At 38.6% G+C, this 17,511-nt stretch overlaps 1 non-coding gene across 1 annotated transcript; it reads right to left on the bottom strand.

Annotated features, from left to right (window-relative positions):
- Positions 1–6,354: 6,354 nt before the first annotated feature.
- LOC124903264 (small nucleolar RNA U13) lies at positions 6,355–6,456 on the bottom strand. The gene has a single exon (XR_007063963.1). It is a non-coding gene; the product is annotated as a small nucleolar RNA U13 (small nucleolar RNA).
- Positions 6,457–17,511: the final 11,055 nt, after the last annotated feature.

Genomic DNA, 17,511 nt, shown 5'->3' with positions numbered 1-17,511 from the left:
TACAAAAACTAAAGGATTGTTTGACATATATGAGTATTTTCTGTTTTTCACTGATTGTTACCAGAGACTAGAATTGTATGATTAAATGAATGGAAATATTGTATCTGTAATGATACTTAGAGAGACTTTATAAATATGGCGGTCCTTACACTCTTTCATACTTATGAGAGGAAAATTTTTGCTGGAGTATGTGAAAATGCTGATCAATCTGTCTGCTCTGCTCACATTTTTCTCAGATCATTTGTGTCTACAGCTGAGAGATGTGAAGCCATATCATGCCACTTTTCCTGGCCAGAGTTGATTAGACCAGGAATGGACACCTGACCCAAGATGGGCTAATAATAATTGTTACCCTAGAGTCATCATAAACAGGGCAAACCATTTAGTGGAATAGAGTATCCAGAAATAGATCCAGAAAAATGTATAAATTTGACAGATGACAAAGGACATATTTCAATTTCTTGAGGAAAAGACACTGTAATGCTGGTGCTAGCATAATTTGCTCTCCATCTAAAAGAAATGAAACCAGACCCCGATTTCACACGATCTACAAAAATATCCATGATGATGTAATATTTTCATGTAAAAATAAAATCAGTAAAAATATTTGAAGAAAGTATGTATTTATATATCCTTGGCTGGAGAAGAACTTCTTACACAGATTAGGAAACTCAAAAACCATAAAGTAAAAAAAATTTTGAATATTAAAAAATCTTATTATGAATTAAATCCTAAAGAGAGTCAGAAGATGAACAGTGGACCAGAAAATATATTTTAAACAGATATCGGATTTAACAGAGTTGACTGCACCATCATCCTTGAAATATCTCCAAGTATTTGAATTTTATCTACAATGCTACACTCTCATGCTTTCTTTTCTACCTCACTCACTGATTGCTGCTTTCCAGCCCAATTTACTCCTCTCTTCTCCCTCTAAATTTTGGAGTACCCTAGAGTTCATTTCTTAGCTCTTTTTATATTTCCAGATGCCCCCTTGGTGATTCCATGGGATCCCATGCCACCAAAGGTCACTTACACTCTGAAGATTCACAATTTAACATCACCTGAACTGCTTCCCTGACAGCCAAACTTACCTTTCCAACACCAACCAGCACCTTCCTGTGGTTGTTTAATAGGCATCTCTATCTCAACATGTCCAATCAAGGACCTTTGATTTTCATTCTCAAAATGATTCCCCATCCCCACTCTGGCAATACTTGTTTTGCTAATGTTATGGTTTGCTATGGTTTATTTGGCTCCACCAAGTCTCATGTTGAAATTGATCTCTGGTGTTGGAGGAGGGGCCCAGTGAAGGCATTTGGGTCTTGGGGGCAGATCCTTCATAATAGCTTGTGCTGTCCTTGTGATAATGAGTGAGCTCTTGCTCTTAGTTCCCATTGGAACTGGTTGTTGGTTGTTGAAAAAGGCCTGGCACCTCCTCTGCCTGTCTCTCACCATGCAATCCCTGCATGCAGGCTCCCCTTCCTTTTCCACCATGAGTAGAAGCCTCCTGAGGCCTCACCAGAAGCAGATGCTGGGGCCGTGCTTATACAGCCTGCAGAACCACGAGCCAAATAAACCTCTTTTCTTTATAAATTACCCAGCCTCATGTATTCTTTGATAGCAACACAAATGAACTAAGATAGGTAAATATTAATAGCACCAAGCTTTTGTTTAAGCCAAAAACCTGAGAATCACCCTTACTTCCTGCTGAAACCTCACATTCTACATCTAGCCACTGAAAAAGCTGCTTTGCATTATTTTCAAAATACATTCCCTAGGGCCGGGCGCTGTGGCTCAAGCCTGTAATCCTAGCACTTTGGGAGGCCGAGGCTGGCGGATCACAAGGTCAGGAGATTGAGAGACCATCCTGGCTAACACAGTGAAACTCCATCTCTACTAAAAATACAAAAAATTAGCCAGGCATGGTGGCAGGTGCCTGTAGTCCCAGCTACTCGGGAGGCTGAGGCAGGAGAATGGCATGAACCTGGGAGGCAGAGCTTGTAGTGAACTCAGATCACTCCACTGCACTCCAGCCTAGGCAACAGAGCGAGACTCTGTCTAAAAAAAAAAAAAATACATTCCCTAGACACCCATTTGTCCTTGTTCGTTACGCTGTTCTCATCATTGAACTGCGATAATCTTGCTCCTAGATTACTACAATGGCCTTGTAACTACATTCCCCATCACACTCTTGACTTCCTCCATTTTATTCTCCATAAATGACCAATATGATAAAACAAAAGAAAACATAAATCAGACCATGGTTTCCCTCTAGTTGTAAGCCTCCAGTATAATACCATCTCACTTAAAATAAAACGTAATCTCTTCCCCATGCCTCTAAGTCCCTAAATGACCTGGCTTTCCTCAAGCTCCCAGCCTTTTCCTCTGCAAGCTCACTTTCAACACTGCATTCCAGCTACATGGACTTTCTTGCTGTCCTCCAAAGAAGTCAAGCTTGTCTCTTAGCATGTGTACTTCCTTTGCCTGGAATACACCGTCCTCAGGTTTTACCATGACTTTTTCTTCATGTCATTTGGAAACTTTTTCAAGTGTTTTAAGGTTTACCCAAACCATATTTGAAACCCTTCACCCCTGTCATTTTCCATCTATCATGATGTTTCCCCACACTGCTTGACATTACCTGAAATTATATGACTTTAGATTACTTGTTCCTTGCCTCTCCCAGTAGAATGTAGGCTTCATGAGAACATATACTGTGCTTTGTTTACCACTGCACTCCCTACCTTCAAAAGTGCCTGATAAGTAGTAGGCACTCAATGGCTGTAAATCAGATGAATAAATGACCCACACGGTGGGTTAATCTGCCAAACGTAGAGTGCCTACAATATATAAACAATCCAAGGAATGAATGGATGTGACCAGGGCATTGATAAAGAAGGAAATGTGACGGATCGTACTAATATATTGTAAAAGATCAATATCATTAGTGTCCCCATAACTGCATATTAAAATACTTAGATAACCTTTCCATTTAGAAGATTAGTACCAATTAAAAATTACTGATACTATTCACTGCTGAAGGAGATATGAGGAAATGGTCATTATTTTACACTGCTGGAGAAAGTTTAAATTGCTACTAAAATAATCTGGTAATAAATATTAATGTGAAAAATGCGAACTCCTACGAATGTTCTAGAGAGAATCTATAATATAGATTTAAAATCACATAAAAAAAACTCTATTGCAGAATTGCTTGTAGTATTCAAAAGTAAACATTCTTTTTTAAATTTTATTTTTTAATTGACAAATAATAATTGTTTATGTTTGTGAGGTACATAGTGATGTTTTGATGCCTGTAATAGATAATAATGAGACCAGAGTAATTAACATATCCATCATCTCAAAAATTTATCATTTTTTTGTTTTAGGAACATTCAATATCCTCCTCCTAGCTATTTGTAACTACTAATATAATATTATTGTTAAAATTGTTGTCCTGCAGTGCTATACAACACTAGAACTATTCCTCCCATTTGGCTGTAATTTTGTATCCTTTAACAAATCTCTCCCTGTCCCTCCCTTCCTCCTATCAGTCTCAGCCTCTCATATCCTCTGCTCCACTTTTTATTTCTATGGGATCAACTTTTTTTAGCTTCCACATATGAGTGAGAACATGTGGTGTTTAACTTTCTGTTCCTGGTTTATTTCACTTAACATAATTTCCACCAATTTCAAAAATGGAAATTCTAATGACCCTCAATAGTAGAGAGATTGAATGTTTTAGGATATGTCCACACAATAGAATACTATGCAGCTATTAAAAAGAGTAAAGGAAATTTACGCATCCTAACTTGAAGGGGTGCCCAATATACCACAAGATTGAAAACTGGAAGTTAAAGGATAATGTGTATAGTGTACAAAAAGCAAACAGCAAACAACAAAAACCTGTGTGTGTGTGCTTGTGTTCACACAGGCTTGCAGAAGACGAGAGAAATGCAGTAACACTAATCTGTTAGGATGATCTCAGGGAAATACAGGGTAGAATGAGGGAGGGGTGTTAGTTTTTCTTTATGCATCTTGTATTTTAAAATATATTTTATAAAATTTAGTTTAAAATTATTTATTTATAAAAGAATAAAAGTGGCAATGAAGTTAATAAGCCACTGACTCTCCTTAGTTATGCAGAAGAATACATAAAGAAATTAAACTAAGGAGTTTTACATTTTAAAAATTAAATCAGAATTAGAATAAAATAACGCTAGCAGATTTGAAAGTCTTGATAAAAGTTCACTTTTATAGAATAGATATATTATCAAAATGACTTGAGAGAAAGAATAGAAATCTTCTATTTCTCTCAATAGAAATAATAACTATTAAAAAATTAAAACCATTATCGAATAATTACTTCTCCAAAGTTAAGCCCTGATTATTTTAGCAGTAAATGCTTTTAAACTGATGATTTCAATACCACAAAAACAGTCCCAGAAAGGAAAAGCCTATAAAGTTGCTTTATTCATTCCACTGAAATGGAAATATCTGTAAGTGTGTGTCAAATACACACACACACACACACACACACACACACACAATGAGAAAGACTACATCCATCACCTTTCTGGGGAAAAGTGCAAAAGTAGAGAACCAGAAACTTTGAGCAATGTAGAGAACCAGAAACTTTGAGCAATGTTTGGAAGAAAAAGAAGACTGGATCAGAAGGGTGTAGAAACCAGAGAAAGAAAAATATTACACACAGAAAAGAAATGTGCAGACTAAAACCACACTTTTCCCCACTGGAGCCTTCGGGCCACTGAAGCCTGGAAAGGCTCATGCAATTCTTTGAGCAGAAATTGATCTGAGCTCCAACTTGAAACATGTAACTATTTTAATCTTATATTCCTTGAATAGCATATACTAATGAACCATAGTAAAATATTTTTTAAATTATAGATCTATAAGGAAAAGTTGGCAAAACTGTCAATACGATGGGAAACTTCAGCTCTCGAGCAACTGATAGACCAGGCAGACAAAAAAAAAAAAATCAGAAAAGATATACAGTATTTAAACAATAAGAATAATAAACACAATCTAATGGCTGTTACTAAAATAGTCTCCTACATGTCCATCAGTCAGGAGTCACCCAAAGAAAGGAAAACCACTTTAATTATTTAACACAGGGTTGGGGGGATAGAGCGCAAGAAATTGGTTCCACGTGTGAGAGAAGAGTTGCAATGACAGATGGGTTTTGTTGAGCCAAGAGATTAGCAGCAGCAGGAAGCCACCACCGCTCCAAAGCTGGGATCAGTAATAATAGACAGCTTTTTCAAGGAATTTTACCATAAATTAGTTGGAGAGGGATTTGGGGTCAGGGTTTCATTTTGCTTTTTCAAGAGACTTCTCTCCTTGCTCCTGGAGGGAGAGGGTTTGAGCCTCCCCTTGGCTGTTGTGGATAGAAGTTTGAGGTCTAAGGGGAGAGCAGCTTAATCAAGAACATACGGAGGTGTGGGTCGGCCTCTCAACTGTCGGAAAAAAATACCTAAATATATTACACAAGAATAATTCCCTGAAACAAATCTGCAGATTGAAGCAGGGGCACACTGTGGTCCCCAAACTCTGCAATGTAGGAGGCTTAACACAGAGAAATATTCTGGTTTAGTGGTTGCGCTTCAAAGGTAAAAAAGGATTTCTTCAGGCATCCAGGCTTCAATATCAAATAGCCTAAATAGGGAAAGCCATTAGGCAGACCTCCAACTTCTCTATGGTGATGTCAATTATTAGAAGGCATTTGCTACTATGTTCTGAAGGAGAGAGTGACTGAGAGCTACCGTGTCAGAACAAATGTCTTTCCATCAAAACCAGCTACATAGTGGGGCCCAAAGCAAAATGAAAACAAGGTACCCCTAGATACAAAATATATTAAGAATTTCAAAATGATGACAGCAGAACATGAATTAGCCCAAGCATGGGGTACTTCTTGTCTCAGCGCAAGATTCTGTGTTGCTGCATGGGCTGCACACTAACAAAGTCAGCCCTGCTTTCAAAGATTTAGGAAACTTTCAGGCTTTCCCATGAAATACAGTGTGAGCCCTCTTCAGCAAATTCCTTGATGACAAAAAACCTAGAGATGAAATTAAATAAAGAGCTTAGAAATGAAGGCTCTGCACTGGTGGAGAGCCTTGAACTGATTTATATATAAAACAAATTCTAAACAACTTTGGGAATTATTGTTACAGAATACAAATACTTGAAACAGGAAGAAGAATGAAATTGCTAGTGCATTCATCTAGCCCTGCAGGTAAGCACTTGACACTACCTAAAATCATATTGTGTTTTTAATGAGATGTAATGATTCTACACTGAGTGTTTTATTTGGTATCTTCCCTGGTATCTTCATGTCAGATTGGTAATGTGCTGACGTCTTAACAAGGTTTGAGGGAGGTTCATCTCACACATAGCATGAAAACCCAATTATCATGCTCTGAACCACAAAAGAATCTGGAAGACTATAGAAGAATCTTTTGTTGGGAAATATCTCATGGAGTGAAGAAACATTTATGTGAGGATGAAGTGATCTCACTGGTTTTACTTCAGTTTATTTTTCTTCTATTAAATTTGGATAAGTTACATTTAATCCTTTTATTGAAAAATACATTATTTGGTTTTTACAAAAGTATGAATGTTAATGATTATTCACGTGTGATGGGATTTGAGTATTTTACTTTCATCTTTCTCATCTTTGTCTTTTCTGTATTAATTAAATTATTTGTAAGTGTCATATGTAATTTTTACAGAAGCTAAATTTAATTTTATTTAATTAAAAAAATTAAGTCAAATATTACCCCACCCAAAGGTTCCAGTCCACAGAATTTTATTGGTGAAATCTATAACAACTTCAAGGAGCTGTATTTACTTTGTTTGAAAGAACAGAGAGCTAGAAAATTTCCAACTTGTTCTGCAATATATCATTGATACCAAACCAAGACAATTAACTACCAAAAAACAGACATATCAATCGCTTTGAAGATAGATGCAACAATGATAAGTAAAATCTTTTCAGGTGGCCACACCCTTTCAAATCCAGCCATGTGGGTGTGGGTGTGGGTGTGGGGGTTGGGGTCACAAGAGAGTTGTGTGGACATCAAGAGCCTAGCATACTTTTGCATGGAAGCCATGGAGATGTTCTCCTCCCCTGTCTCTGACACCCTGAATAACCTCTACTAGACTGAGGAAAATGGAGGCCCAGGGGTACTAAAGGGGTCCCAGGGATGGGCAGAAACTAAATTGGACTGCTTGGGTTCAAATTGTGGTGTCTTAACTATCACCAGCCTTCTTCAAGAGAGGCTACTGTCATGGACTGCTAAGATGGCATAACAAGGGTAAGGCAGTGGAAGAAATCCATCCAGAGTATAGGTCATAAGGAGTGTATTGCCTGTGGACAGTTTTGGAAACAACAGTAAAGACAGCCAAGCATTAGTCTGCTTTATGTTATCACCATGAGTCTAGTTTCAAACAATGTCAGTGATAAAATCCTCCCTTGTGGAAAAAAATCAGTTCCTTCCAGGTTTACATTTTTAAACAAGATTTCAAAAATTGTATTTATTTGTTTATGTGAATTTACAGATGACAAAGTGTGTACGCTTGTGGTGGACAATGTGATGGTTTGATATATGTATCAAATACAGAATGTTTGAATCAAGCTAATGAACATATCCATCACCTCACATACTTATTATTTTTGTGATGAAAATATTTAAAATCTACTCTCTTAGCAATTTTCAAGTATACTATACATTATTACTAATTATAGTTGCCATGCTACATAACAGATCTCCAGAACTCATTCCTATAGTCCCACTAAAACTTCATACACTTTGACCAACATTTTCCCATTTCCCCAGCCCCTGGTAACCACAATTTCATTACCTATTCTTTAATAAATGCTGTGCTTTAAATGAAGTTAATTTCAAAGATCTCTCAGTTATACAGTCAGCCCTCAACATCTGCATAATTAGCTACATGGGATTCTTTTATTTATTATTTATTTATTTTTTGAGACAGTTTCACTCTTGTTGCCCAGGCTGAAGTGCAATGGCACAATCTCAGCTCACTGAAACCTCTGCCTCCTGGGTTCAAGAGATTCTTCTGCCTCAGCCTCCTGAGTAGCTGGGATTACAGGCACGCACCACCACGCTGGGCTAATTTTTGTATTTTTAGTAAAGACGGGGTTTTGCCATGTTGCCCACACTGGTCTTGAACTCCTGGCCTTATGTGATCCACTCGCCCCATGGGATTCTTTTCAAGAGTAATGCTGTACTGGTTTGGAAAAGTTTGAGTTTGCTTCAGGAGCTGTTTGTGTCACCAACCTCAATGGCACCACACATTCTGTGTTTAAGCTGCAAGTTAGAAATAAACAATGACAGTACAATGATTATAATGACAAAGAAAATTTATGTTATTCCAATTCTATCAATCTATGTGATTTCTTGGACTTTTTATTTGGGTTTAAAATTTGGATAGCCATATGTAGAAGAATAAAACTGTACACTTATCTCTCACTGTATACAAAAATTAATTCAAGATTCATTAAAGAATTAAATGTAAGACCTAAAATTATAAAAATTGTAGATGGAAACCTAGGAAAAACAATTCTAGCCAATGGTCTATGCAAAGAATTCATGACTAACAGCACAAAGGCAAATGCAACAAAAACAAAAATGGACAAATTTAACTCAAATAAAAAGCTTCTGCACAGCAAAAGAAATAACACAGTGAACAGACAGCCCAAAGAATGGGGAAAAATACTTGCAAATTATACCTCTGACAAAGGACTAATATCCAGAACCTAAAAGAAACTAAAGGGGGGCAGCATGAGCAACGCAGAAGACAGGTGATTTCTGCATTTCCAACTGAGCAAACGGCACACCAGGAGATTATATCCCATGCCTGGCTTGGAGGGTCCTACGCCCATGGAGCTTTGCTCATTGCTAGCACAGCAGTCTGAGATCGAACTGCAACATGGGAGCGAGGCTGGGGGAGGGGCGCCTGCCATTGCTGAGGCTTGAGTAGGTAAACAAAGCCACTGGGAAGCTTGAACTGGGTGGAGCCCACCGCAGCTCAAGGAGGCCTGCCTGCCTCTGTAGACTCCACCTCTGGGGGCAGAGCATAGCCAAACAAAAGGCAGTAGAAACCTCTGCAGATTTAAATGTCCCTGTCTGACAGCTTGGAAGACAGTAGTGGTTCTCCCAGCATGGAGCTTGAGATCTGAGAATGGACAGACTGCCTCCTCAAGTGGGTCCCTGACCCCTGAGTAGCCTAACTGGGAGGCACCCCCCAGTAGGCACAGACTGACACCTCACACGGCTGGGTACCCCTCTGAGACGAAACTTCCAGAGGAACGATCAGGCAGCAACAGTTGCTGTTCACCAATATTCGCTGTTCTGCAGCCTCCACTGCTGATACCCAGGAAAACAAGGTCTGCAGTGGACCTCCAGCAAACTCCAACAGACCTGCAGCAGAGGGTCCTGACTGTTAGAAGGAAAACTAACAAACAGAAAGGACATCCACACCAAAACCCCATCTGTACATCACCATCATCAAAGACCAAAGGTAGATAAAACCACAAAGATGCGGAAAAACAGGGCAGAAAAACTGAAAATTCTAAAAATCAGAGCGCCTCTCCTCCTCCAAAGGAATGCAGCTCCTCACCAGCAACAGAACAAAGCTGGATGGAGAATGACTTTGGCGAGTTGAGAGAAGAAGGCTTCAGACGATCAAACTTCTCCGAGCTAAAGGAGGAAGTTTGAACCCAATGCAAAGAAGTTAAAAACCTTGAAAAAATATTAGATGAATGGCTAACTAGAATAACCAATGCAGAGAAGTCCTTAAAGGACCTGAAGGAGCTGAAAACCATGGCACGAGAACTACGTGATGAATGCACAAGCTTCAGTAGCCGATTCGATCAACTGGAAGAAAGGGTATCAGTGATGGAAGATCAAATGAATGAAATGAAGCGAGAAGAGAAGTTTAGAGAAAAAAGAATAAAAAGAAATGTACAAAGCCTCCAAGAAATATGGGACTATGTGAAAAGACCAAATCTACGTCTGATTGGTGTACCTGAAAGTGACGGGGAGTGGAACCAAGTTGGAAAACACTGCAGGATATTATCCAGGAGAACTTCCCCAATCTAGCAAGGCAGGCCAACATTCAAATTCAGGAAATACAGAGAACGCCACAAAGATACTCCTCAAGAAGAGCAACTCCAAGACACATAATTGTCAGATTCACCAAAGCTGAAATGAAGGAAAAAATATTAAGGGCAGCCAGAGAGAAAAGTTGGGTTACCCACAAGGGGAAGCCCATCAGAGTAACAGCTGATCTCTCAGCAGAAACTCTACAAGCCAGAAGAGAGTTGGGGCCAATATTCAACATTCTTAAAGAAAAGAATTTTCAACCCAGAATTTCATATCCAGACAAACTAAGCTTCATAAGTGAAGGACAAATAAAATACTTTACAGACAAGCAAACGCTGAGAGATTTTGTCACCACCAGGCCTGCCCTAAAAGAGCTCCTGAAGGAAGCACTAAACATGGAAAGGAACAACCGGTACCAGCCACTGCAAAAACATGCCAAATTGTAAAGACCATCGATGTTAGGAAGAAACTGCATCAACTAATGAGCAAAATAACCAGCTAACATCATAATGACAGGATCAAATTCACACATAACAATATTAACCTTAAATGTAAATGGGCTAAATGCTCCAATTAAAAGACACAGACTGGCAAATTGGATAGTCATGACCCATCAGTGTGCTGTATTCAGGAAACCCATCTCATGTGAAGAGACATACATAGGCTTAAAATAAAGGGATGGAGGAAGATCTACCAAGCAGATGGAAAACAAAAAAAGGCAGGGGTTGCAATCCTAGTCTCTGATAAAACAGACTTTAACAAAAATCAAAAGAGACAAAGAAGGCCATTACATAATGGTAAAGGGATCAATTCAACAAGAAGAGCTAACTATCTTAAACATATATGCACCCAATACAGGAGTACCCAAATTCATAAAGCAAGTCCTTAGAGACCTACAAAGAGACTTAGACTCCCACACAATAATAATGGGAGACTTTAACACCCCACTGTCAACATTAGACAGATCAATGAGACAGAAAGTTAACAAGGATATCCAGGAATTGAACTCAGCTGTGCACCAAGTGGACCTAATAGACATCTACAGAACTCTCCACCCCAAATCAACAGAATATACATTCTTCTCAGCACCACACCGCACTTATTCCAAAATTGACCAGTTGGAAGTAAAGCACTTCTCAGCAAATGTAAAACAACAGAAACGATAACAAACTGTCTCTCAGACCACAGTGCAATCAAACTAGAACTCAGGATTAAGAAACTCACTCAAAACCGCTCAACCACATGGAAACTGAACAACCTGCTCCTGAATGACTACTGGGTACATAATGAAATGAAGGCAGAAATAAAGATGTTCTTTGAAACCAACGAGAACAAAGACACAACATACCAGAATCTCTGGGACACATTTAAAGCAGTGCGTAGAGGGAAATTTATAGCACTAAATGACCACAAGAGAAAGCAGGAAAGATCTAAAATTGACACCCTAACATCACAATTAAAATAACTAGAGAAGCAAGAGCAAACACATTCAAAAGCCAGCAGAAGGCAAAAAATAACTAAGATCAGAGCAGAACTGAAGGAGATAGAGACACGAAAAACCCTTCAAAAAATCAATGAATCCAGGAGTTGGTTTTTTGAAGAGATCAACAAAATTGATAGACCGCTAGCAAGAATAATAAAGAAGAGAGAAGAATCAAATAGATGCAATAAAAAATGATAAAGGGGATATCACCACTGATCCCACAGGAATACAAACTACCATCAGAGAATACTATAAACACCTCTATGCAAACATACTAGAAAATCTAGAAGAAATGGATAAACACATACACTCTCCCAAGATTAAATCAGGAAGAAGATGAATCCCTGAATACACCAATAACAGGCTCTGAAATTGAGGCAATAATTAATAGCTTACCAACCAAAAAAAGTCCAGGACCAGATGGATTCACAGCCGAATTCTACCAGAGGTACAAGGAGGAGCTGGTACCATTCCTTCTGAGACTATTCCAATCAATAGAAAAAGAGGGAATCCTCCCTAACTCATTTTATGAGGCCAGCATCATCCTGATACCAAAGCCTGGCAGAGACACAACAAAAAGAGAATTTTAGACCAATATCCCTGATGAACATCGATGCAAAAATCCTCAATAAAATACTAGCAAACCAAATCCAGCATGATCAAGTGGGCTTCATCCCTGGGATGCAAGGCTGGTTCAACATATGCAAATCAATAAATGTAATCCCGCTTATAAACAGAACCAATGACAAAAACCACATGATTATCTCAATAGATGCAGAAAAGGCCTTTGACAAAATTCAACAGCCCTTCACACTAAAAACTCTCAATAAATTAGGTATTGATGGGACGTATCTCAAAATAATAAGTTATTTATGACAAACCCACAGTGAATATCATACTGAATGGGCAAAAACTGGAAGCATTCCCTTTGAAAACTGGCACAAGACAGGGATGCCCTCTTTCACCACTCCTATTCAACATAGTGTTGGAAGTTCTGGCCAGGGCAATCAGGCAGGAGAAGGAAATAAAGGGTATTCAATTAGGAAAAGAGGAAGTCAAATTGTCCCTGTTTGCAGATGACATGATTGCATATCTAGAAAACCCCATCGTCTCAGCCCAAAATCTCCTTAAGCTGATAGGCAACTTCAGCAAAGTCTTAGGATACAAAATCAATGTGCAAAAACCACAAGCATTCTTGTACACCAATAATAGACAAACAGAGAGCCAAATCATGAGTGAACTCCCATTCACAATTGCTTCAAAGAGAATAAAATACCTAGGAATCCAACTTACAATGGATGTGAAGGACCTCTTCAAGGAGAACTACAAACCACTGCTCAACAAAATAAAAGAGGATGCAAACAAATGGAAGAACATTCCATGCTCATGGATAGGAAGAATCAATATCACGAAAATGGCCATACTGCCCTAGGTAATTTATAGATTCAATGCCATCCCCATCAAACTACCAATGACTTTCTTCACAGAATTGGAAAAAACTACTTTAAAGTTCATATGGAACCAAAAAAGAGCCCTCATTGCCAAGTCAATCCTAAGCCAAAAGAACAAAGCTGGAGGCATCATGCTACCTGACTTCAAACTATACTACAAGGCTACAGTAATCAAAACAGCATGGTACTGGTACCAAAACAGAGATATAGACCAATGGAACAGAACAGAACCCTCAGAAATAATACCACACATCTACAACTATCTGATCTTTGACAAACCTGACAAAAACAAGAAATGGGGAAAGGATTCCCTATTTAACAAATGGTGCTGGGAAAACTGGCTAGCCATATGTAGAAAGCCGAAACTGGATCCCTTCCTTACACCTTATACAAAAATTAATTCAAGATGGATTAAAGACTTAAATGTTAAACTTAAAACCATAAAAACCCTAGAAGAAAACCTAGGCAATACCATTCAGGACATAGGCATGGGCAAGGACTTCATGACTAAAACACCAAAAGCAATGGCAACAAAAGCCAAAATTGACAAATGGGATCTCATTAAACTGAAGAGCTTCTGCACAGCAAAAGAAACTATGGTCAGAGTGAACAGGCAACCTATAGAAAGGGATAAAATTTTTGCAATCTACTCATCTGACAAAGGGCTAATATCCAGAATCTACAAAGAACTCAAACAAATTTACAAGAGAAAAAAACAGACAACCCCATCAAAAAGTGGGCAAAGGATATGAACAGACACTTCTCAAAAGAAGACATTTATGCAGCCAACACACACATGAAAAAATGCTCATCATCACTGGCCATCAGAAAAATGCAAATCAAAACCACAATGAGATACCATCTCACACCAGTTAGAATGGCAATCATTAGAAAGTCAGGAAACAACAGATGCTGGAGAGGATGTGGAGAAATAGGAACATTTTACACTGTTGGTGGGACTGTAAACTGGTTCAACCATTGTGGAAGACAGTGTGGCGATTCCTCAGGGATCTAGAACTAGAAATACCATTTGACCCAGCCATCCCATTACTGGGTATATACCCAAAGGATTATAAATCATGCTGCTATAAAGACACATGCACACATATGTTTATTGCGGCACTATTCACGATAGCAAAGACCTGGAACCAACCCAAATGTCCAACAATGATAGACTGGATTAAGAAAATGTGGCACATATATACCATGGAACACTATGCAGCCATAAAAAATGATGAGTTCATGTCCTTTGTAGGGACATGGATGAAGCTGGAAACCATCATTCTCAGCAAACTATTGCCAGGACAAAAAACCAAACATCGCATGTTCTCACTCATAGGTGGGAATTGAACAATGAGAACGCTTGGACACAGGAAGGGGAACATCACACACCGGGGACTGTTGTGGGGTGGGGGGAGGGGGGACGGATAGCATTAGGAGATATACCTAATGTAAATGACGAGTTAATGGGTGCAGCACACCAACATGGCACATGTATACATATGTAACAAACCTGCACGTTGTGCACATGTACCCTAGAACTTAAAGTATAATTTAAAAAAAAGAAGAAACTCAAACAGCTCAACAACAACAAAAATAACAAAACCCATTAAATAGTACACAAAAGATATGAGCAGACATTTTGCAAAGATATATAAATGGCCAAATGAAAAGCATATGGAAAAATGCTCAACTTCACTAATCATTACAGAAATGCAAACCAAAACCATGATGAGATACCATCTTACACCACTCAGAATGGATATTATAAAAAAGTCAAAAAATAACAGATGCTGGCGAGATTGGGGAGAAAAGGGAATGTTATGTACTCCTGGTGGGAATGTAAATTAGTACAACCTCTATGGAAAACAGTATGGAGATTTATCAAAGAACTAAAATTAGAACTGCTATTCAATTCAGCAATCCTACTCCTGGGTATCTACCCAAAGGAAGAGAAATTACTATAACAAAAAGATACTTGTACTCACATGTTTATTAATGCAGTATTCACAATAACAAAGATCGGAATCAACCTAAGTTCCCATCAATGAATAATTGGATAAAGAAAATATGATATGAGATATATACATATATATACACACACACACACACACATATATACATACACACACAACATGGAATACTGAATACTACTCATCGCTAGAAAAGAATGAAATCATATCTTTTGCAGCAACTTGGATGAAACTGGAGGCCATTATCTTAAGTGAAATAAGTCAGAAACAGAAGGTCAAATATGGCATGTTCTCACTTATAGGTGGGAGCTAAATAATGTGTACACATGGACATAGAGAGTAGAATAATAGACTTTGGAGATTCAGAAAGGTGGAAGAGTAGGGGCAGATGAGGTATGAGAAATTACCTAATGCATACAATGTGTGCTCTTTGGGTGATGATTACACTGAAAGCACAGAATTCACTGTTATGCAATATATCCATGTAACAAAACTGCACTTGTTCCCCCTAAATCTATATAAATTTTTTAAAACCTGTGAAACAAAGAGCTCACTGAAAGGGGTTATATTTTTATTTGGTAAATGAATGTTTTAGTTCAAATGTGAAATATATTCATTTTACTTCATGATTATTACTAACGATAATTTTGTGGTACAGAGACGGGGGTGGTAAAACAGTGAAGAACTCCACACCAGGTGTGAGATAAGCCCCTGATGCTGACTCCTGTTTTTTTGTTGTTGTTGTTGTTTTTGTTGTTGTTTGTTTTTGTTTTTGTTTTTTTTTGAGACAGAGTCTCACTCTGTTACCCAGGCTGGAGTGCAGTGGTGCGATCTCGGCTCACTGTAACCTCTGCCTTTCAGGTCCAAGCGATTCTCCTGCCTCAACCTCCCAAGTAGCTGGGATTACAAGCATGCACCACCACGCCGAGCTAATTTTTTGTATTTTTTTTAGTAGAGATGGGGTTTCACCATATTGACCAGGCTGGTCTCGAACTCCTGACCTCAGGTGATCTGCCCACCTCAGCTTCCCAAAGTGCTGGGATTACAGGTGTGAGCCATAGCGCCCGGCCAACTCCTGTTATGATGGGGACATGATAGGGCAATCCCCAGGATAGCAGACAACCCTGGGTAGAGCCAGAGTCTTCCAGGCATAGGGCATGTCTCTTCTTCTCATCTCGGGGGACAGAAATCAGTACTGGTCTCCTGGCCTGAGTAAGAGCCCCAAACGATGACAGAAAGGGGATGCAAGAAAATAAAGAACGGGTTTCTCTTGGCTAGTTGGATGAAGACTGGTATTCATAGTAATTTGGATTTTATGTGCAGATTTCTGCTTCTGGCATGATAGGTAACTGGATGTGAACTTACCTTCTCATCATAAACAAATCAAAAGCCAGACTAAAGGTCGAGGTAGTTATGTTCAGATGCTGGACAGCAGGAAGCACAGGTCTGTGATCTCTGAGATGAGGAGAAGGAATGAGGAGGGACGCAGCTCTTTTCTTAGAGAGACTTACTAGAGAACGGTGCAAGGAGGGGTTCCCAGAGAAAAGTGTGGTGCTCTCTGTGAGATGAGGCAACAGAGATGAGAATGTGGGAAAAAGGAAACCTCTGAAATTTGTCGGGTAGCGTAACAGAGAGGAAGTGCTACATGGCTCCAGAATTATGAGTAGGGTTCCCTTTTAGGCTGAATATTAAGTTTTGTTAAGTGTAGGAGACTCTATGAATTGACCAATTACCAAGGAGCTTTAAGCTGAGCAAGTCTCAGAGCTCACAGAGAACTAGAGAACTTCAAGTTCCATCCAGCCAGGGCACTGCACACCCAGGACATTCAATAAAGACAGCAGAGGGGTCTGGCTTTGGTGGTGGGACTGAGCTAGTCCTAGAGTATAGGTTATTTTAAGCCCACTGAACAAAACTTAAAAATAAGCCTGACAATAATCAAGTGGTCCACAAGTAACATAAGTACCTTCTTAAGCAAAGTTCAATATGCTTTACAGGAAGGTAACAAAACTTGGAATTCAACGAGACAAAATCCACTATGTCTGGCATCCAATACAGAAATACTTTGTAATGAAAATCCTTCCCATAGGAAAGTATCAGACCCAGATGACTTCACTGTTGAATTCTACTCATCATTTAAAAAAGAAATCAAACAATCCTTCACAAATTCTTCAGCAAATAGACTCACTTTATGAGGCCAGCATACTTGCACAAAAAACAAAAACCTTATAATGAAAGGAAACTGCAGACCAATATTCTTCATAATATAGATACAAAATCCTTAACCAAGTATTAGAAAAATCAAACTCAGCAATATATTAGCAAGATATAGACACATATTATATATATATGTACACATATACTTATCTGTATATATACATGCACAGAGATAAATATATTTACATGCATACACATATACATGCATACACCAACGTTTATGTTAATTTTTTATATAT

Source organism: Homo sapiens, chromosome 13, assembly GCF_000001405.40.
Source record: "Homo sapiens chromosome 13, GRCh38.p14 Primary Assembly".
Lineage (NCBI taxonomy): Eukaryota > Metazoa > Chordata > Mammalia > Primates > Hominidae > Homo > Homo sapiens.
Note: the sequence above shows the minus strand (reverse complement) of the source record. Positions and strands in the feature narration are given on the sequence as shown.